The sequence below is a fragment of the Homo sapiens genome, chromosome 3 (assembly GCF_000001405.40).
Source record: "Homo sapiens chromosome 3, GRCh38.p14 Primary Assembly".
In the NCBI taxonomy this organism is placed as follows: domain Eukaryota; kingdom Metazoa; phylum Chordata; class Mammalia; order Primates; family Hominidae; genus Homo; species Homo sapiens.
This window is the reverse complement of record NC_000003.12, coordinates 75,721,031-75,743,238: the sequence shown is the minus strand read 5'-3', so window position 1 is coordinate 75,743,238 and position 22,208 is coordinate 75,721,031. Positions and strand designations below refer to the sequence as shown.

The following is a 22,208-nucleotide window of genomic DNA, read 5'->3' as shown; positions in this document are numbered from 1 at the left end:
TTGTCTTCAGTATTATATGTAATCTAAAGAGTTAAAGTTCAGTCATGCATGGCTTACTGATGGGATTACTTTCTGAGAAATGCATCTTTGGGTAATTTCATTGTTTTGTGAAGATCATAGTATTATGAAAACCTACATGATATGTATATTTTTATTTATATGTTTTTGGTATATAGGTAACTAGGTGGCTCAGAGCCATTATTGAATATCGTTTTCTGCACTTCATCTGCAATGCCAATATCAGGTTTCTGTGTATGTTTCATCATCATCTTATGGGACTATTGTGATATACATGTTTCATCATTGACTGAAATGTTATTATGCAGCTCATGACTGTATACAGGAGGATGTGCATAAGTTATATGCAAATATGAGAATAGTTTATATAAGAGAGTTATCCAATCTGTGGATTTTGATATCTGGGGGTATCTTGGAATCAGTCCCCATGGATACTGAGGAAGTAATATAATGTAAAAACGATAGGTGCATAAGAATTTTTGAAATTGGGTCAAATATTTAAATGCAGAATCACTGCATAATCAGTTCCTTAAATATTGCATTTAGCTTTCATCACTGTCCAGGATCATTCATCTAGGCATGGTGCTGTCCAGAGTTCCATTAAAGTGGTGTGTGTTCTCTTTGCCTTTGTGAGTAGACTTCTGATACTTTCTCATAGTCAGAGAATTCATGGTTCATGTGGAAGAGCCAAACACCTGATTTTTCAGTAAAGTGGAACCTCATGGTGCAAAATAAACAAAACTTATTTTCTCCTTCTCTTATCTTAGTCTGCATTGAACTTGTGTCTCAATGAGTTCACCTAAACATTATTCCCAGTATGTGTTTATACTTATATATTCATAACCAGATCATGAGCTCCTTTGAGGAGTAGAATTTTATTCTTTTTTTTTTTTTTTTTTGAGAGGTAGGCTCTCTGTTGGTCAGGCTGGAGTGCAGTGGTGTGATCATAACTCACTGCACTGTCAAACTCCTGGACTCAAGCAATCCTTCAGCCTCAGCTTCCAGAGTAGCCAGGACTACAGGCATGCAGCATTATGCCTATATTTTTTTATTATTTTTGTAGAGACAGGGTCTTGCATTTTGTTTATACTTTTATCCCTAGCAATAAGGGTGGTTCTAGATCTATAAGGTGAACTTTGTAATACAATTTTATTAATTCATAAGTTATTACAGTGGAAGCATATTTCTACTGTGATTACTCCTTCTCCCACCATAAACAGTGCAAAACAAACTACATCTTATGTAAAATACATAAGACACATGGACACACCAAAGAGTGAATTCCCAGATTCTTGTTCTTTTGACAAGAATCTTTGGGCTGATGCTTTGACTTGAGGAAAAATGTGCCATTACAGGGGTTGGTGTCCTTTGAAGATGTGGCTGTGCACTTCACCTGGGAGGAGTGGCAGGACGTGGATGATGCTTAGAGGACCCTGTACAGGAACGTGATGCTGGAGACCTACAACAGCCTGGTATCATTACAGGAGTTGGTGTCCTTTGAGGAGGTAGCTGTGCACTTCACCTGGGAGGAGTGGCAGGACCTGGATGATGCTCAGAGGACCCTGTACAGGGACGTGATGCTGGAGACCTACAGCAGCCTGGTATCATTGGGTGAGTGAAACTTGCCAGTAACTCCCAGGATTGTATTTTGTTGCTGGTAAATATAGGAACCCTTTTAAGGTATAATAATATTTACTTGTAAGCTTCCAGTTGATGAAAAATGTGTCACTACTCTAATGAAATGTTCAAATTGGCTCCTTCATTGCACAGTCCCTGAAGCCCAGCTGTCGTCATTCTGAAAAGGATTTGACTTAGTGGTTTGACAAAGTCTTCCATTGTTTCTCATTACCAGGGCATTACATTACCAAACCTGAGATGATCTTCAAGCTAGAGCAAGGAGCAGAGCCATGGATAGTAGAAGAAACCCCAAACCTGAGACTTTCAGGTCAGTCAGTGAATACCAGGCAGGGAGGCCTGGAGGAGTAATGCCCAGCAAATTTTTGTAGTGTTATCTTGTTTTCACCACTTTTTTCCCTAGGTCTTCGACCTGAAGGCTGTTGGTCTGCATTAAATGTGCATTATATAGTCCCCAGGGGTAACTCTCATGCATATATCCCAGTCTCTTATTTTTCTGAGTATCTTCTTCTATTTACCCCAAATCCAATCCCTGCCATCCTCTCCTTAGGCCTTTTTCTCTGCTATTTATTTTCTCTGTTTCCCCCTTTTCCTCTATTCTGATGTAGTATCTTAAAAATTTTTTTAGACATTCATGCATTTATTTATCCTTTGAATGTATCTTAAGTGATTTTTAAGAATCAGTCATTATAACGATGATGAAAATGGTGTTTCTTTTTAAGCTATAGCTTTATTCTTGTTTTATTTTTTATTAAACAGATGATTCTCACTCTATTTCTCAGACTGAAGTGCAGTGGCATGATTATAGTTCACTGTAATGATGAACTCCTGGGCTCAAGTGTTCCTCACACCCTAGCCTCCCAAGTAGCTAGGACTACAGGTGTGTGCCACCACACCTGGCTAATTTTTTATTGTTTGTGGAGATGAGGTCTTGTTCTATTGCCCAGGCTGGTCTCGAACTTCTGGCCTTAAATGATCCTCGTAGACAACCACCTACAAAAAAAAAAAAAAAAAATAGCTGAGTACGGTGACAAGGGTTTGTAATCCCAGTTTTTATACTTGGGAGGCTGAGATGGAAGGATTGCTTGAGCTCAGGAGTTTCAAGCTTCAGTGAGCTATGATAGCAACACTGCACTCCAGCCTCAGTAACAGAGTAAGATCCTGTCTCGGAAGGAAATTATGAAGCTGAGGAGGACCCATCATAGGGGCCTGGATAGGGGTGGTGCTGGACTTGGGAGGAGAACCAGAAGATTCTGGGTCTCAAGTCCAAAGAAACTAATTATTTCCTGTTGAAGGGCTCAGATTTCTGTTTGAGAGTGGAGTTTGTAGTTACCATTGGAAGATGAGAAATGTACAGGAAACTTCATTTTTATATAAAACTGTGTGACATCTGAAACTCCAAAACACAAAATAAAACCCTTCAAAAATGGTGAATTATCAAGCAGCGATTGGTGAGTGGAGAGGGGCACGGCTGTGGATCTCAGAAGGAACCAGAAATACACTTTTCGAAGATGACGGGCACAGCCTGAGTTGCAGAACCAATCCTTCAGATCACCAGTGTGGTTTTTTGACTGGAGCTTCTGTGCCTATTATGGTTCTGGGAAGCAGGGGATGTCATGTTTAAGTAGGAATTTGCCAGGATCTGTTTTTGTTTAACATGGGGAATAAGAGATTTTCTGCTTGGAAAACCTCCAGACACATTTAACCATTCTCAGGGAGGAGTGAAAGGTTAACATATAGGCAAAATCCTGTCCACAAGCTGCTTCCATGCTTAGGAGACAGAAAAATGGCCATCTCCTATACCTACCAGTTGCTGACCCAGGAAAAACTGGCTATCTTCAAAGAAGAATAAAGAAAAAATAGCAGCTATTAAAACAGCCACTATTGTTATATGAATAAATAAAAAAAAAGAGAGAAAACATATGACAATAATGAGCACTTATTAAAACCTATGAGTAGGAAGTAGATGCATATTATTACCAAATAATTCTTTGTGAAATAAAAAAGAACAGGAAAACTTCAAAATGCAAAGAAAAACTCAATTGAACATTAGAAAATATACTGATTTATTACATTATGTCAGTAGGAACAGAAACCATATGCATATAAAACCAATACCCATATTTATTTTTGTCAAATCTTACTCCACTGAGATAGGAAGTAATTTTTTTTACCTTTACACAAGCATTCTGTAAGACATGCTCATGTGTGGTTCATGGATACCTTTTTTCTCATTTCAGCTGTCCAGATCATTGATGACCTTATTGAAAGGAGCCATGAAAGTCATGATAGATTTTTCTGGCAAATTGTAATCACCAACAGCAACACATCAACTCAGGAGAGAGTTGAATTAGGAAAAACATTTAATTTGAACTCAAACCATGTTTTAAATCTGATTATAAATAATGGAAACAGTTCAGGAATGAAGCCTGGGCAGTTTAATGATTGCCAGAACATGCTTTTCCCTATTAAGCCTGGGGAGACACAGTCTGGAGAGAAACCTCATGTCTGTGATATAACCAGGAGATCCCACAGACATCATGAACATCTTACTCAGCATCACAAGATTCAAACTCTGCTGCAGACTTTTCAATGTAATGAACAAGGGAAAACCTTCAACACGGAGGCAATGTTCTTTATACATAAGAGGGTTCATATAGTACAGACCTTTGGTAAATATAATGAATATGAGAAAGCCTGTAATAACTCAGCTGTTATTGTCCAAGTGATAACTCAGGTAGGACAGCCAACTTGCTGTAGAAAGTCTGACTTCACTAAACATCAGCAGACACACACAGGAGAGAAACCCTATGAATGTGTTGAATGTGAGAAACCCTCCATTAGCAAATCAGACCTTATGCTACAGTGCAAGATGCCTACTGAGGAAAAACCTTATGCCTGTAACTGGTGTGAAAAATTGTTCAGCTATAAGTCCAGCCTCATTATCCATCAGAGAATTCACACAGGGGAAAAGCCCTATGGATGCAATGAATGTGGTAAAACCTTTCGCCGTAAGTCATTCCTCACTTTACATGAGAGAACTCACACAGGGGATAAACCCTACAAATGTATTGAATGTGGAAAAACTTTTCACTGTAAGTCACTTCTCACTTTACATCACAGAACTCACTCAGGGGAAAAGCCCTATCAGTGTAGTGAATGTGGAAAAACCTTTAGCCAGAAGTCATACCTCACAATACATCATAGAACTCACACAGGGGAAAAGCCCTATGCATGTGACCATTGTGAAGAAGCATTTAGCCATAAGTCAAGGCTTACTGTCCATCAGAGAACACACACAGGGGAAAAACCGTATGAATGTAATGAGTGTGGAAAACCCTTTATCAATAAGTCAAACCTCAGGTTACATCAGAGAACTCACACAGGGGAAAAACCCTATGAATGCAATGAATGTGGGAAAACGTTTCACCGTAAGTCATTCCTCACTATCCATCAATGGACTCACACAGGGGAAAAACCCTACGAATGCAATGAATGTGGGAAAACCTTTCGCTGTAAGTCATTCCTCACTGTCCATCAGAGAACTCATGCTGGGGAAAAACCATACGCATGTAACGAATGTGGAAAAACATATAGCCACAAGTCATACCTTACAGTACATCACAGAACTCACACAGGGGAAAAACCCTATGAATGTAATGAATGTGGAAAATCCTTTCACTGTAAGTCATTCCTAACTATACATCAGAGAACTCATGCTGGCAAAAAACCCTATGAATGTAATGAATGTGAGAAAACCTTTATCAATAAGTTAAACCTTGGGATACACAAGAGAACTCACACAGGGGAAAGACCCTATGAATGTAATGAATGTGGAAAAACCTTTCGTCAGAAGTCAAATCTCAGCACCCATCAGGGAACTCACACAGGAGAGAAACCTTACGTATGTAATGAATGTGGAAAAACCTTTCATCGCAAGTCATTCCTCACCATACACCAGAGAACTCACACGGGGAAAAACCGTATGGATGTAATGAATGTGGAAAAACTTTTTGTCAGAAATCATACCTTATTATACATCAGAGAACTCACACCGGGGAAAAGCCCTATGAATGTAATGAATGTGGAAAATCCTTTCATCAGAAGGCAAATCTTCAGAAGCATCAAGGTATTCACACGGGGGAGAAACCCTATGAATGTAGCAAATGTGGAAAAACCTTGTCAGAAGTCAGTCCTCACTGTACATCATAGAACCCATACCGGAGAAAAACCTTATGAATGTAATGAGTGTGGGAAAACCTTTTGTCACAAGTCAAACCTCAGTACGCATCAGGGGACTCACTCAGGAGAGAAACCCTATGAATGTGATGAATGTAGGAAAACTTTTTACGATAAGACAGTTCTCACCATACATCAGAGAACTCACACAGGTGAGAAGCCATTTGAATGTAAAGAATGTAGGAAAACCTTCTCCCAGAAGTCAAAACTCTTTGTACATCACAGAACTCACACAGGGGAAAAACCCTTTAGATGTAATGAATGTAGGAAAACTTTCTCCCAGAAGTCAGGCCTCAGTATACATCAGAGAACACACACAGGAGAAAAACCTTATGAATGTAAGGAATGTGGGAAAACCTTTTGCCAGAAGTCACACCTCAGCAGGCATCAACAAACCCATATAGGAGAGAAATCTGACGTAGCTGAGGCAGGCTATGTGTTCCCTCAAAATCACTCTTTTTTCCCTTGAACACACAACCTACACCTCTCTGGCTACTATTACAGATTTCTCCATGCTCAGTCTAGGAGAATATGGACACAAATGGTGACCATTACCTCCTGGCCTACCAACAAGAAGGTCTTAACCATGCTGTAACAGAAGTCCTATCATGCAGGCTTTGTTGTTCCCATTTTTACAGCACACTTTGCACTTTAATGTCACAGATATGGCTGTTTTCCTAGAAGCTCATATACCAACCTCTGCCAGCTTCAAACATTTCTTCTGCAACTTCCTCACCTCTCTTCTCCTCCATAGAATTGAAGAGAGTTAGGGCCTTTCTCAGGATTAGGCTTTGTCTCAAGGGAATGTTGGGGCTGGTTTGATCTTCTATGTGGACCACTCAGACTTTCTCTGTGTCAGTAAAAAGCCTGTTTTGTTTTTTAAAAATCATTCATGTGTTCTCTGGAGTAGCACCTATAACATCCTTCAAGAACTTTTTCTTTGCATTCACAACTTGAGTAGCTGATGCAAGAAGCTTAGCTTTGGCCTGTCTTAGCTTCCAACATGCTTTCTTCACTAAGCTCGATGATTTCTACCTTTTGATTTGAAGTGACAGGTGTGCACACTTCTTTTCAATTGAACACATGGTGGCCACTGCAGAGTGAAGTGGCCTAATTTCATTGTTGTATCTTGGGGAATGGGGAGCTAGAAGAGAGAAACAGAGACAGGGAAATGACTAGTCAATGAAGCAGTCAAACACAACATTTTTCCATCACGTTTGCTATCTTCCATAGAGTTCCAGCACGCTGAGACAATTCCATTAGTAACATCAGAAATCACTGATCACAGATCATAACAGATGTGATAACTAAAATCTTTGAAAGATTGGGATTGCCAAAAGATGTGACAGAGATGTGAAGTGAGCCCATGGTGTTGGAAAAATGGTGCTGGTCAGGCTTGCTGAGCACTTCGTGGCCACAAATCTTTAATTTGTTAAAAAGGTGATGTTGCCAAGCAAAATAAAGTGAAGCTCAAAGTGAGATGTGCCTCTATTTTGATGGGCTCTAACAATTTGTCTTTTCTGGGTGCATTTAGACCATTGACATTCAAAGTGATTATACAGTTGGATTAATTTTGCCATATCATTTTCCATTAACTCCTATTATTCTTTGATCTTGCTTTGTCCTCCACTCTTTTTCTGCCTTTTATGGAGTTGATGATTTTATACGATTTTTGTTTCCTCTCGTTGCTTTTTTTTTTTTTTTTTTTTTTATTGAGACAGTCACCCAGGCTGGAGTGCAGTGGTGTGATCATGGCTCCCTGCAGCCTCAACCTCATGGGTTCAAGTGATCCTTCCACCTCAGTCTCCCAATTAGCTAGGACTACAAGTATGCAATTAGCTAGGACTACAAGTATGCACCACAATACCTGGCCTTTTCTTTTCTGTAGGGACAGGGTCTCACTGTATTGCTCAGGATAGTCTCTAACTCCTGGACTCAAGCCATCTTTCTACCTTGGCAAGAGCCACTATACCTGGCCTGTTTTCTCTTTTAGCATTTCTATACTTTGGTTTTTACTAGTTGCCCTGGAGTTTGCAGTATAGACTTGCAACAAATCCAAGTCCACCTTCAAATAACACTATACCAGTTCAGTTACTTCGACTGCCTTCTAATAGAAATGTAATACCAGTTTCTCTCATATTCCTATGTCTTGTGTTATTGTTGCCATTTGTTTCACTTATATGTAAGCATACATAGCCTTGTATATATTAAAGTATGTAATTGGCTGGGTGCCTTGGCTCAAGCCTGTAATCCCAACACTTTGGGAGGCTGAGACAGGTGGATCATGAGGTCAGGAGATGGAGACCCTCCTTGCTAACATGGTGAAACCCCATCTTTACTAAAAATACAAAAAATTAGCTGGACGTGGTGGCACACGCCTGTAGTCCCAGCTACTCGGGAGGCTTGGACAGGAGAATTGCTTGAACCAGGGAGGAGGTGGAGGTTGCAGTGAGCTGAGATTGCACCACTGCACTCCAGCCTGGGTGACAGAGCAAGACTCTCTCAAAAAAAAAAAAAAAAAAAAAAAAATATATATATATATATATATATAATTGCATACATTGTTATTATATACAAACTGTTATATGTTAGGTCAATTAAGAATAAAAAGCAGCCAGGTACGGTGGCTTATGCCTGTAATCCCAGGACTTTGGGAGGCCGAGGTGGGCAGATCATGAGGTCAGGAGATTGAGACCATCCTAGCTAAATGGTGAAATCCCATCTCTACTAAAAATACAAAAACAAAATTAGCCGGGTGTGGTGGTGGGTGTCTGTTGTCCCAGCTACTCGGGAGGCTGAGGCAGGAGAATGGCATGAACCTGGAAGGCAGAGCTTGCCGTGAGCTGAGATCACGCTACTGCACTCCAGCCTGGGTGACAGAGTGAGACTCCATCTCACAAAAAAAACAAAAAAACAAAAAAAACCCATTTTACCACCACTTATTCCTTCTCTAATGTTCTTTTTAAAATGTAGATTCAAGCCAGGTGTGGTGGCTCACACCTGTAATCCCAGCACTTTGGGAGGCCGAGATGGGTGGATCATGAGGTTAGGAATTCAAGACCAGCCTGGCAAAGATGGTGAAACACTGTCTCTAATAAAAATACAAAAAAATTAGCCAGGCGTGGTGGAGGGCTCCTGTAATCCCAGCTACTTGGGAGGCTGAGGCAGAGAATTGCTTGAACCTGGGAGGCAGAGGTTGCAGTGAGCCGAGAATGTGCCACTGCACTCCAGCCTGGGCAACAGAGAGAGACTCTGTCTCAAAATAAATAAATAAAAATAAATAAAATGTAGGTTCAGTTTTCAGATGTGTATCTTTTTTTTTCCTCTAGATAATGTTTAATATTTTCTCACATGACACATCTGCTGGTAACAAGTTTCCTCAACTTTTGTTTGTCCAGGGAATGTTTTATTTCTCATTTACTTTTGAAAGAAGATCTCACAGGGCACTGAAATCTTAGTTGATGGTTTTTTTTTTTTCCTCTCAGCATGTTTAATATGTCATTCCACTCTCTTTTTACTTTCATGGTTCTGAGATGTTGAATGTAATTTTTTTTTTTTTTTTTTTTTTGAGATAGAGTCTTGCTCTGTCACCCAGGCTGGAGTGCAGTGGTGTGATCTCAGCTCACTGCAAGCTCTGCCTCCCGGGTTCATACCATTCTCCTGCCTCAGCCTCCCGAGTAGCTAGGACTATGAGCTCCCACCCCTACGCCTGGCTAATTTTTTGTATTTTTTCGTGGAGATGGGGTTTCACCGTGTTAGCCAGAGTGGTCTCGATCTCCTGACCTCATGATCCACCCACCTTGGCCTCCCAAAGTACTGGGATTACAGGCATGAGCCACCGAGCTCAACCTGAATGTGATTCTTATCTTTGTTTCTCTATAGGTAAGATGTTGTCCACTCCACCTTTGGTTTCTTTTGGAGCTGATGTTTTATACAGTTGGAGAATAATATGCCTAGGTGTAGGTTTTTGGCATGTATCCTGCCTGGTGTGCTCTGAGCTTCTTGGATCTTTGGTTTGGTGTCTGACATTAACAGTGGAAGTTGTCAGACATGATTGTTGCAGATGTTTCTTCTATTTCTCTCTTTTTCCTTCTAGTATTCTCATCACTCTATGTTACACCTTTTCTAGCTGTCCCACAGTTCTTGGATATTACATTCCATTCTTTTCAGTTTTTAAAGTTTCTTTCAAAGTTTCCAGAACTCAGAGACTCTTTCCTTTGTTGTGTTCAATCTACTAATAAGCCAATCAAAGACATTCTTCAGGTCTTTTGCAGTATTTTTTTTATCTCTACTGTTTCTCTTTTGTTCTTTCCTTGGACTTCTATCTCTCTGCTTACATTGCCTATCTGTTCTTGAATGCTGTCTCCTTTGTTCATCAGAGCCCTTAGCATACTACTCAGAGATTTTTTTTTAAAATCCCTGTCTGATAATTCCAATATCATAGGTGTGTCTGGTTCTGATGATCTGTCACTTCAAATTGTGTTTTTTGCCTTTTAGTATGCCTTGTGCTTTTTCTTTATTCCTAGATATGAGATACCAGGTAAAAGGAACTACTGTAACAGTGCATCCAGTAATGATGGGAAGCTGTGGAGGGGAGGGGAAGCTGTCTTAGTCCATCCACCAGCATAACTTAGAGCAAGTAATTTGTAAACAACAGAAATTTATTGCTCAATTTAGAGGCTAGAAAATCCAAGGTCAAGGTTCCAGGAGATTCAGTGTTTGATGAGACCCATTCCTCGTAGATGGTGCCAGCTATATGTCCTCTCATGTTGAAATGGACAAAGAAGCTTCATTTGGCCTGTTTCATAAGTGCACTAATCCCAATCAGGTTGGCTTTGCCATTACCTTTCAAAGGTCCCACCCCTTAATTCTAGTGCATTGGAGACTCGGTTTCAACAGGCACATTTTGCAGGGGGTCCAGCAGGGAACAGATATTCAGACTGTAGCAGAAGAGTTCTGGAGTCTTACGACTGGGCCTCATTGTTTAAGTGAGTCTCTGCTTTTGGACTATGAACTTCACATGTGTTTCTCTGTTTTTATCTTCCCCTTTAGGGATGACTGGAGTAGGCTGGAGTTGGGAATTTCCCTTCCAGCAGGTCATTTAGGATCTGGTTATATGAGAGCAGGTTAGGCTGAGGTTCAGTAATTTCTCCTGAGGATAAGCCTTGTTAAGAACAGGTTGCTCTGGCATATTTTAAGATGGTTTTCCTTTTTCCTTCCCAAAGGTGGAAGCAAGAAGCAAGTTTTCTCAGGTATTTGCCACAGGAGCCTGGTGGAGCTCCAGGAGGTAAATTTTACAATATTATGCTCCCTCATAACTGGATCTCCCTGGTGTTTTTACCTCCTTGAGTTGTCCATATGGAACCTTCAGCAATTCACCAGTTATAGTTCAAGATTTTCTACTCCAGCACTGGTTCCTAAGGTGGTTTCAGTAGTGAGTCTCTGTTCCTGTAAGCCATAAATTCCCATATTCACTTCTCTATCTCTCCAATCTTGGGGGCAGTGGTTTGCCCTATGTCCTCTCTTCACATTCAAATCCAAAAAGGATTGTTGATTTTTCAGTCTCTTCAGCTTTTGTTTTATTTAAATTTTTTTTTTAGAGTTGGGGGTCTCACTATGTTGCACAGGCTGGTCTCAAACTCCTGGACTCAAGGGATCCTCCTGCTTTGGCCTCCCAAAGTGCTGGGATTACAGGCATGAGCCACCACACCTGACCTTTTCAGCTTTTCATGTGTTGTTAAGGTGGACTGATTACTTCCATTCTTTTTTTTTTTCTTCCTTTTTTTGAGATGGACTCTCACTTTGTTGCTCAGGCTGGAGTGCAGTGGTGCAATCTCAGCTCACCTTAACATCTGGCTCCCAGGTTCAAGTGATTCTCCCTGCCTCAACCTCCTGAGTAGCTGAGATTACAGGCACCCACCACCATGCTGGCTAATTTTTGTATTATTATTATTTTATTTTTTAATTTTTTGAGGCAGAGCTCACTCTGTCATCCAGGCTGTAGTGCAGTGGCATGATCTTGGCTCACTGCAACCTCCACCTCCCAGGTTCAAGCAATTCTTCTGCTTCAGCCTCCCAAGTAGCTGGTACTACTGGCACACACCACCACACTTCGCTAATATTTGTATTTTTAGTAGAGATGGGGTTTTGCCATGTGGGCCAGGTTGGTCTGAAACTCCTGACTTCATGTGATCCACCCACCTCAAGCTCCCGAAGTGCTGGGGTTACAGGTGTGAGCCTCCATGCCCAGCCTAATTTTTGTATTTTTAGTAGAGACAGGGTTTTGCCATGTTGACCAGGTTGGTCTTGAACTTCTGACTTCAGGTGATCTGCCCACCTCGGTCTCCCAAAGTGCTGGGATTACAGGCATGAGCCACTGCACCTGGCTACTTCTAAGCTTCTTACATGCAGAAATCAGAACCTGGAATCTGTTTCTAAGACTTATCTTCTTAATGCCTATGTGGACAATTAAAGGATTTTTCTCCTCAGGACTCTGAATATGATGAATTGTATTAGTAGACTTTCTAATATTGAGCTTTTCTTAATTTGTGAAATAAACTCAGAAAGTTCCTTCTTGGTTTTAACAGTCTATTTCTGTTTGTAAATATTAGTATTTCTGTGGATTCTGTACTTGTTCCTTGTTATCCTTTCATTCTCTTAGGTTCATTTGGTCTGATGGATTCAGGTACCATTGAAATTCTGATAGTTTCAAAATCTTTTATCTCCAGGTTTGATCTCTCTTGTGAACTCTGGAACTGTATTCCCAATTGTCAATTGGACATCCCTACGTATGGGACCTCAGATATTTCAAACATGATGTGTCCAAGTCTGTATCACTTCTGGCCATCATATTGTTCTTTTATTTTTCCAAATTTCACATCACCAGTAACAAACTAGCTGTGATCATGGCAGATAGCCTGGAAATAAAACTCCCCTTTTTACCCTTTGCACAGCAAATTGACATCAAATCCTGTTTCTACTTTTTTTTTTTTTAACTATTGCTTCCCTATTCTGTATTCTCACTGCTCCATCTCCTGATGTAGGAGGTCATCTGTTTTCCTCTTTTCCTCTCCTCTGACTCTTAAGCCCTTTCCCATTCTCTTTCTCAGGAATGGCTGTTAAAATGCCAATATGGTCTTGTAACTTTCCTGTACTTAGTGAACCTCCTTATTTACACCCTGTTTGTGAAGTGGCTGTGTTCACCCTGGGTGGACACGGAATGTTTTTGTCATGTACAAAGAGAATTTTATGCTGCCTGTGTACAGTTATTAATTTGTAAGTACACTCAGCTTTTTGTATCTGTAGGTTTAATATCTGTGTATGTAAGCAAACTTGGATGCAAAATATTTGAAATAAAATCAGATGCTTGCATCTGTAGTGAACATATTCAGACTTTTTCTTGTCATTATTTCCTAAACAACACAACTATTTACATCCACATTGTATTTGGTCTTCTAAGTGTGAAAGGAAAATAAAGCTTGGGACTCCAAACTCATTAAACTAAAGGGAAAAGTCAAGCTGGGAACTCGGTCATGCAAACCTGCCTCCTTCTTTTGGTTCCTAAATAAGATGGCTCCAAGATAAAAAGCTTTTTGTCTTGTAGCCCCCTCCATCATATTTTTCCCACAAGGAAATTTCTGGTGTGCTTTAAGATCTTTAAAGTGTTTCTGTTAAAATTCATCATAGCAATGTAAATTGATAGCTTATCCTTTTTTTTTTTTTTTTTTTTTTGATATGGAGTTTCGCTATTGTCACCCAGGCTGGAGTGCAATGGCACAATCTCGGCTCACCGCAACCTCCGCCTCCCGGGTTCAAATGATTCTCCTGCCTCAGCCTCCTGAGTAGTTGGGATTACAGGCATGCACCACCACACTTGGCTAATTTTGTATTTTTAGTAGAGATGGGGATTCTCCATGTTGGTCAGGCTGGTCTCGAACTCCTGACCTCAGGTGATCCACCCACCTCAGCCTCTTAGAGTGCTGGGATTACAGATGTGAGCTGCCACACCTGGTCTGATAGCTCTTCTTTACAGTGCATAGGACAGAACTCAGAGTCACCCTTCTGCCCACCTGACACAAATGCATATCTGATTGTTCCCCTCCCTCTTTGTCTATGCTATGTATAAATGCAGATTCACTGAGCCAAAGGCATGGATGACTGTATCAGTCTGTTCTCACCCCTCTGCCTACCTGACACAAATGCATATCTGATTGTTCACCCTCCCTGTTTGTCTATGTTATGTATAAATGAGATTCACTGAGCCAAAGGCATGGATGACTGTAGCAGTCTGTTCTCACCCCTCTGCCCACCTGACACAAATGCATATCTGATTGTTCACCCTCCCTGTTTGTCTATGTTATGTATAAATGCAGATTCACTGAGAGAAAGGCATGGATGACTGTAGCAGTCTGTTCTCACCCCTCTGCCCACCTGACACAAATGCATATCTGATTGTTCCCCCTCCCTGTTTGTCTATGTTATGTATAAATGAGATTCACTGAGACAAAGGCATGAATGACTGTATCAGTCTGTTCTCATACTGCTCTGAAGAAATACTCAAGACTGGGTCATTTATAAAGGAAAGAGGTTTAATTGACTCACAGCTCTGCATGGCTGGGGAGGCCTCAGGAAACTTACAATAATGGCAGAGAGCACCTCTTCACAGGGTGGCAGGAGAGACAATGAGTGCAAGCAGACAATGAGTGAAATGTCAGACATTTATAAAACCATCAGATCTCATGTGACTCATTATCATGAGAACAGCATAGAGGAAACTGCCCCCATGGTCCAATTACTTCCACCTGGTCCCACCCTTGACACATGGGGATTATTGCAATTTATGGTGAGATTTGGGTGGGGACACAGAGCCAAACCGTATCAATGAATGTTTTCCCCTTACCCCAGTCTTACATGAAAACTGTATTTCTCAATATTTCACCCTTTCCCCTTTAAATTTGGAACCCTCATAATCATTTTTGAAGAAAAGCATAGACCTGTCTCCTTGGTGTGCATCCTTAACGTTGGCAAATAAACCTCCTAAAGTGATTGAGATTTGTCTTGGTCATTTTTCTTGATTGACCGAAGTGTTCCAGAGATGATATAAAGTACAGTCATGCATGGCTTAATGACATGTGTATGTTCTGAGACATGCTTACTAAGCAATATTTTTGTTTTGTGAACATCATAAAGTGTAGTTACATAACCCTAGATGGTGTATATGTTTATGTTTTTTCATAGGAGAAACCATATGTTCTAGCACCATCATTGAATATCAGTCACTTTCCCTACTTGATCTGCAGTGCTAGTATCAAGTCCCACATGTGAGGTTTTATTGGGGGAACCAGCCCCCAATATTTCAATGTAGGTTCTTTCTATTTTCCCTAAGTGTTGGCTGGTCTGAGAAATAAAGAGTACAAAGAAATTTTACAGCTTGGCCTCTGGGGGTGCCATCACATTGGTAGGACTATGATGGCGACCTTGAGCTACAAAACCAGCCAGTTTTTATTAGGGATTTTGAAAGGGGAGGGGATGTACGAACAGGGAGTAGGTCACAAGCATCACATGCTTCAAAGAGCCATAAAGATCACAAGGTGAAGGCAAAATTAGAACCACTGATGAGGGTCTGTGTCCCGCTGTGCACACATTGTCTTGATAAACATCTTAACAGGAAACAAGGTTCAAGAGCAGAGAACCAGTCTGACTAGAATTCACCAGGCTGGAATTTCCCAATCCTAGCAAGCCTGAGGGTACTGCAGGAGACCAGGGTGTATTTCAGTACTTATTTCAACCACATAAGACAGACACTCCCAGAGCGGCCATCTATAGACCTACCCCCAGGAATGCATTCCTTTCCCAGGATATTAATTATTAATATTCCTTGCTGGGAAAAGAATTCAGTGATATTCTCTTACTCACACGTCCATCTGTAGGCCCTCTGCAAGAAGAAAAACATGGCTGTATTCTGCCCAACCCTGCAGGCAGTCAGATCTTATGGTTATCTTCCCTCATTCCCTGAAAATCGCTGTTATTCTGTTCTTTTTCAGGGTGCACTGATTTCATATTGTTCAAACACCCATGTTTTACAATCAGATTTGATATTGTTTGAACACACATGTTTTACAAACAATTTATACAGTTAACGCAATCATCACAGGGTCTTGAGGCGACATACATCCTCAGCTTATGAAGATGACGGGATTAGGAGATTAAAGTAAGACAGGCATAAGAAATTATAAAAGTATTAATTTTGGGAACTAATAAATGTCCATGAAATCTTCACAATTTATGTTCTTCTGCCACGGTTCCAGCCAGTCCCTCCATTTGGGGTCTCTGACTTCCCGCAAGAAGGTTTCTACATGTGTTTATAATCTTAGGGGACCATGGTAATATACATGGTTCATTATTGATTAAAATGTTCATTATGAGGCACATGACTGCATATGGAAGGATAAGCATGGGTTATATGCAAAATACCATTTTATATAAGACTTGAGCATCAGTGGTTTTTGGTGTCTGTGGGGGTATTCTGGAGCTGATTTCCCACGGATACTGAGGAACAACTGCACTTTGAAAATGAAAGGTGCATACATTTTTGTTACTAAAATTAGGTCAAATATTTAAATGCAGAATCACTGCATAATCAGTTCCTTCAAGACTGCATCTATCTCTCTCATCAAGGCCCAGGATCGTTTATCTAGATACACTGCAGTATGTCATTCCATTAACATGGTGTGTCTTCTTTGTGTCCTTGGGACTGGACTTCTGCTACACCTCATACTTCTGAGATGGTGTGGTTCACATGGAAGTGCTAAACAACTTTGGTTTTTCAGTGAAGTGCAACCTCATAATACCGTGCATCACCATGCCTGGCTAGTTTTTCTATTTTTTGTAGAGACAGAGTTTCACCATGTTGCTCAGGCTTGTCTTGAACTCATGAGCCCAAGTGATCCACCTGCCTCAACCTCCCAAAGTGCTGGAATTACAGGCATGAGCCACTGTGCCTGTCCTAACTAAATATTTGAACTACAGGTGAAGCAAAGTCTCTCTCTCTGATGTTTGGTCTTCTATTTACAACTCCTAAAATATCTAAATGTGCCCTCCCTCTCAGGGCACACAGCCCAATGCTATTTTCTCCCAGATGATAGGAAAGAAAGAATCACATAACAAATGCCTAGTGATCTTCATTGTGAAGAGCACACGGTCAAAACTTATTTTAAAATCCTATTTTGAAGTCCAGTTATGCAAAGAATTAATAAATAATGACACGAATTGATGAAAGAGTAGCTATCTTACTGAGTCTAGCGTAAGAACACAGATGGGTTTCATAATGAGCCACAAAGCCATCTGAGTCTAGATCAGAATGTCAAGGTCTTGAGAAAAGGCCCAACTGGGAGCAAATTATGAAATCTGCATGAGTCTCTTAAGGACGACTTAGGGAAGGCTTGGCCTTTGGTCCTTATTATGAGACTGATATGGTTTGGCTGTGTCCTCACCCAAATCTCGAATTGTTGTTCCCATAATTCCCACATATTGTGGGAGGAACCTGGGGGGAGGTAATTGAATCATGAGGACTGTGTTGTTCTTATGATAGTGAATAAGTCTCATGAGATCTGATGGTTGTATGGAGGGAAGTTCCCCTACACATGCTCTCTCTTGTCTGCTGCCGTGTAAGACCTGATCTTTGCCTTCTGCCATGATTGTGAGGTCTCCCCAGCCATGTGGAACTGTGAGTCCATTAAACTTATTTTTCTTTATAAATTACCCAGCCTTGGGCATGTCCATATTAGCAGCATGAGAATAGACTAATACGGAGACTTATTATGAGTTTGACAGGAAGGTGCAGAAACAGAGTTCTGGAGTCAGATTATGGGTGATGGCTACATAATCTTTTTTATTCAGGAAAATTGAAAGATTTTGTATATGAGTGGAACTTAGCTTCTGTTCAGGGTTGATGTGGGAAAAAGTGGTTAGATTTGTGAACAGGAGCTGAATCATTAGAAGTCTTCAAGTCCTTGCTAAAGAGTGAGAACCTAAGTTTTAAGCTGTTGTTAAGTGCTTTTAAGTCCTTGAGGAACACAGTTACCTGTTTAGAGATATAGTCTGGAAGCGAACAAGATAACGGGAAGTGAGAGGAGTGCAGGCTGATGGAAACATGATGGAAAATGGAAATATTTCAGATGAGAGAGAGTGAGGGTTTCACTGAGTCGAGGAGTGCAGGCTGATGGAAACATGGAAAATGGAAATATTTCAGATGAGAGGGAGGGAGGGTTTCACTGAGTCGAGGAGTGCAGGCTGATGGGAACATGATGGAAAATGGAAATATTTCAGATGAGAGAGTGTGAGGGTTTCACTGAGTCATAAAGTTGTGGAGAGGAAGCAGTGAGTAGAAGAATACTTAAGAAGTAGAATTAATAAAACTTTGTGCCAGAACAGGTGTGATGGGTCTGGGAGAGAGCTATACCTGGAACAGTGGATCTCAGAGTGCTCCATGAAAATAATACTCTTTCTATCATAATACAGATATGTTACTTGTCTTTTTCGCTTGTTTTTGTTCTCTGCTTTGGTGCAAATGCAATAGTAAGTAAAACCGTAGCACAAAACAAGACAGTGGCTCCAAACAATAGTAGCAGTTCTATTATTTACACTCACGTGGTTGCTTAAATAAACATGCCAATTTTATTTTCATGTTACTTAAGAATATCCTTGATGAAGCAGTAAAAAATATAATTTTCATTAAATCTAGATCCCCAAGTATGTCTTTTCAGTATTCTGTTTGATAAAATGGTAAGAACTCATAGAGCACTTATTACTTAAAAATGAACTAAGTGTGACAGGGTGCAGTGGCTCACACCTGTAATCCCAGCACTTTTGGAGCTCAAGAGTTTGCGACCAGTTGGAGGAACATGATGAAACCCCATCTCTACAAAAAATATTAGCCAGGGGTGATGATGTAAGCCTGTAGTCTACTGTAGGGATGAGCCCTACAGGGTCTGTGGGTTTTCCTCCCTGTGTGCAGAGATGAGAGATCATAGAAATAAAGACACAAGACAAAGAGATAGAGGAAAAGACATTTGGGCCCGGGGGACCACTACCACCAAGACGTGGAGACTAGTAGTGGCCCAGAATGCCTGGCCACGCTGTTATTTTTTGGATACAAGGCAAGGGGGCAGGGTAAGGAGTGTGAGCCATCTCCAATGATAGGTAAGGTCACGTGGGTCTCCTGTCTACCGGTTGGAGGCCCTTCCTTGTTTGGCAGCCGAGGTGGGGAGAGAGAGAGGACAGCTTACGCCATTATTTCTTCAATGCATTTCAAAGACTTTTAGTACTTTCACTAATTCTGCTACTGCTATCTAGAAGGCCGAGCCAGGTGTACAGGGCGGAACATGAAAGCAGACCAGGAGCGTGACCGCTGAAGCACAGCATCACAGGGAGACAGGCCTCCGGATGGCTGCGGGCGAGCTTGACTGATGTTGCCTTCCACAAAAGGTGGTGGAGCAGAGTCTTCTCTAACTCCCCCGGGGAAAGGGAGACTCGCTTTCCCGATCTGCTAAGTAACCGGTGCCTTCCCAGGCACTAGAGCTACCGCTAGACCAAGGTCTGCTCAGTAACAGGCGTCTTCCCAGGCGCTGGTGTTACCGCTAGACCAGGGAGCCCTCTGGTGGCTGTGTCCGGGCATGACAGAGGGCTCGCACTCTTGTCTCCTGGTCACTTCTCACCATGTCCCTTCAGCTCCTATCTCTGTATGGACTGGTTTTTCCTAGGTTATAGTTGTAGAACAGAGATTATTATAATATTGGAATAAAGAGTAATGCTACAAACTAATGATTATTAATATTCACATATCATCATCTATATTCTATTTCTAGTACAAGTATTCTTATTCTATATATTTTCTTTATTACACTGGAACAGCTCTTGCCCTCAGTCTCTTGCGTTGGCACCTGGGTGGCTTGCTGCCCACAGTCTATTACTGGGGAGGCTGAGGCGGGAGGATCACTTGGCCCTGGAAGGCAGAGGTTGCAGTGAGCTATGATTGCACCACTGCACTCCAGCCTGGGCAACAGAGCAAGAGCTTGTCTGAAAAAAAAAAAAAAAAAAAGTGAGATTGTCTTAAAGAAAAATAACTGAGCTGTTACTGAAAATGTAAAAAGTTTTCAAGTGAAAATTAAAATATGGAAAACGTATCTGCGTTCTTGAACATGACAATTTTTCAAAACACGGGTTTTTCTGAGGAGATCAAGGGCAATATTACTGAATTTCAAAATATTTTGTAATAAAGTGTATCAATATTTGGAACATCTGCATTATTCGATGAACCAATATTTTCCCAATGGCCATGCCAATATGATAAAAATCATGATCGGTAAAAGAGCCATTAACATTGAAAATAGACCTATAGGTTTTAATGTGATATAGCAGAAAAAGCATATGATGTGGTGTCATGCCTCCCATTGCAATAACCTGAATAAAGCATTTCTTTGGAGATCAAAGAAGAAGAACAATAGTTGGCCAAAAATACTTAAATTTTTTTTTTTTTTTTTTTTGAGATGGAGTTTCACTCTGTCACCAGGCTGGACACAATCTTGGCTCACTGCAACCTCCACCTCCTGGGTTCAAGCGATTCTCCTGCCTCCGCCTCCCAAATAGCTGGGATTACAGGCACTCACCACCACGCTGGCTAATTTTTGTATTTTTAGTAGAGACGGGGTTTCACCATGTTGGCCAGGCTGGTCTCAAACTCCTGACCTCAAGTGATCCGCCCGCCTCAGCCTCTGAAAGTGCTGGGATTATAGGCATGTGCCACCACACCTCATCCAAAAATTCTTTTAAATTATTCTTCCTTTCTACAACCTCATGTCTGTGTGGGGCACTATTTTCTTCACACACTTAGTCAAAACAACATATTGCAACAGATTGAATTCAGAAGCAGATATGAGTATAAAGCTGTCTTCAGTTAAGCCAGACATTTTGCAAAAATGTAAAAACATTACAACTCTTCAAACTATTTGGGGACTTGTTTTATTTTAAAGTACTATTTTGTTAGCATGAACTGAATTTATTATTTTTAAGCATATTACTAATTTTTTTTGAAGTGGAATCTTGCTCTGTCTCCAGGCTGGAGTGCAGTGGCACGATCTTGGCTCACTGCGACCTCCACCTCCTTGGTTCAAGTGATTCTCTGGCCTCAGCCTCCCGAGTAGCTGGGACTACAGGCGCCCACCACCACGCCCAGCTAATTTTTTTTTTTTTTTTTTTGTATTTTTAGTAGAGATGGGGTTTCAACGTGTTGGCCAGGATGGTCTTGATCTCTTGACCTTGTGATCCACCTGCCTCGGCCTCCCCAAGTGCTGGGATTACAGGTGTGAGCCACCGCACCCGGCAAATATTTACTAATTTAGAAGTCCTAATTTCTCTTATGTAATCATTAATAGAAATAATACATATGAATAAAGTTGGGTGAGAGAGAAAGATTTGGAAGTTGTCAATTTTTTTTTCCTTTTAACTTATTTAAAATTCAAGTGTCATGTCTACAAAGTGGCTGCAAAACTCATAAATTAAAATAGAGACCTTATTCCTCCACACTCCTTTAGTTTCATTTTTTCTTTCTATCATAGGGTTTATCACTATTATTTTTAATCTTCTCATCCCAACTAAATTGTGAAGCCCTGCAGAAAAAAAAGTTATTTGCTTTATTTTTGACTTATTTGAACTTAGCACCATGAATTGCTTAGGGATTGTTCTTTAAAATAAAAATTAAATAACATCAGGCCAGGCGTGGGGGCTCACGCCTGTAATCCCAGCACTTTGGGAGGCTGAGGCGGGCAGATTACCTGAGGTCAGGAGTTCAAGAACAGCCTGGCCAACATTGCAAAACCCCGTCTCTACTGAAAATACAAAATTAGCCAGGCGTGCTGGCGCTCGCCTGTAATCCCAGCTACTCAGGACACTGAGACAGGAGAAGCACTTGAATGTGGGAGGCAGAATTTGGAGTGAGCTGAGATCGTGCGACTGCAATCCAGTCTGGGTGACAGAGCAAGACTCCATCTGAAAAATAAATAAATAAATAAACAAAAACATCAGTTAGCAATGTTGTCATTTAGGCATATTTAGGCATTAATTCTATCACTTACCAGACCTTAATATTTTAAATTGTTGATCATGGAATTTGTTGATTTGAACCTGAACAACCTTAATTATTTTCAAGTAGTTTTTCCTTCAATTAAATTATATTAACTTTATATTTAGTTGAAATAATTTATTTTCATGTTTTTATTAAACTTTAATCAATATTTTGTGTTTTTATAGCCATGTGAAAT

At 40.7% G+C, this 22,208-nt stretch overlaps 1 protein-coding gene and 1 non-coding gene across 22 annotated transcripts in view; one reads left to right on the top strand and one right to left on the bottom strand.

The window, feature by feature from the left end:
• The window catches only part of ZNF717 (zinc finger protein 717), a 90,849-nt gene that overhangs the window by 42,311 nt on the left and 26,330 nt on the right, over positions 1-22,208 (top strand). For 7 of the 21 annotated variants that reach the window (XM_047447039.1, XM_047447038.1, XM_011533244.4 and 4 more), the window contains 3 exons: positions 1,503-1,629; positions 1,871-1,963; positions 3,894-7,371. In XM_047447039.1, the coding sequence (XP_047302995.1) occupies positions 1,503-1,629; positions 1,871-1,963; positions 3,894-6,361 (2,688 nt within the window). In that variant the 3' untranslated portion in view covers positions 6,362-7,371. The other 14 variants (XM_011533251.2, NM_001290210.2, NM_001324026.2 and 11 more) reach the window with 10 other exon arrangements.
• Positions 4,876-4,959, bottom strand: MIR4273 (microRNA 4273). The gene has a single exon (NR_036235.1). It is a non-coding gene; the product is annotated as a microRNA 4273 (primary transcript).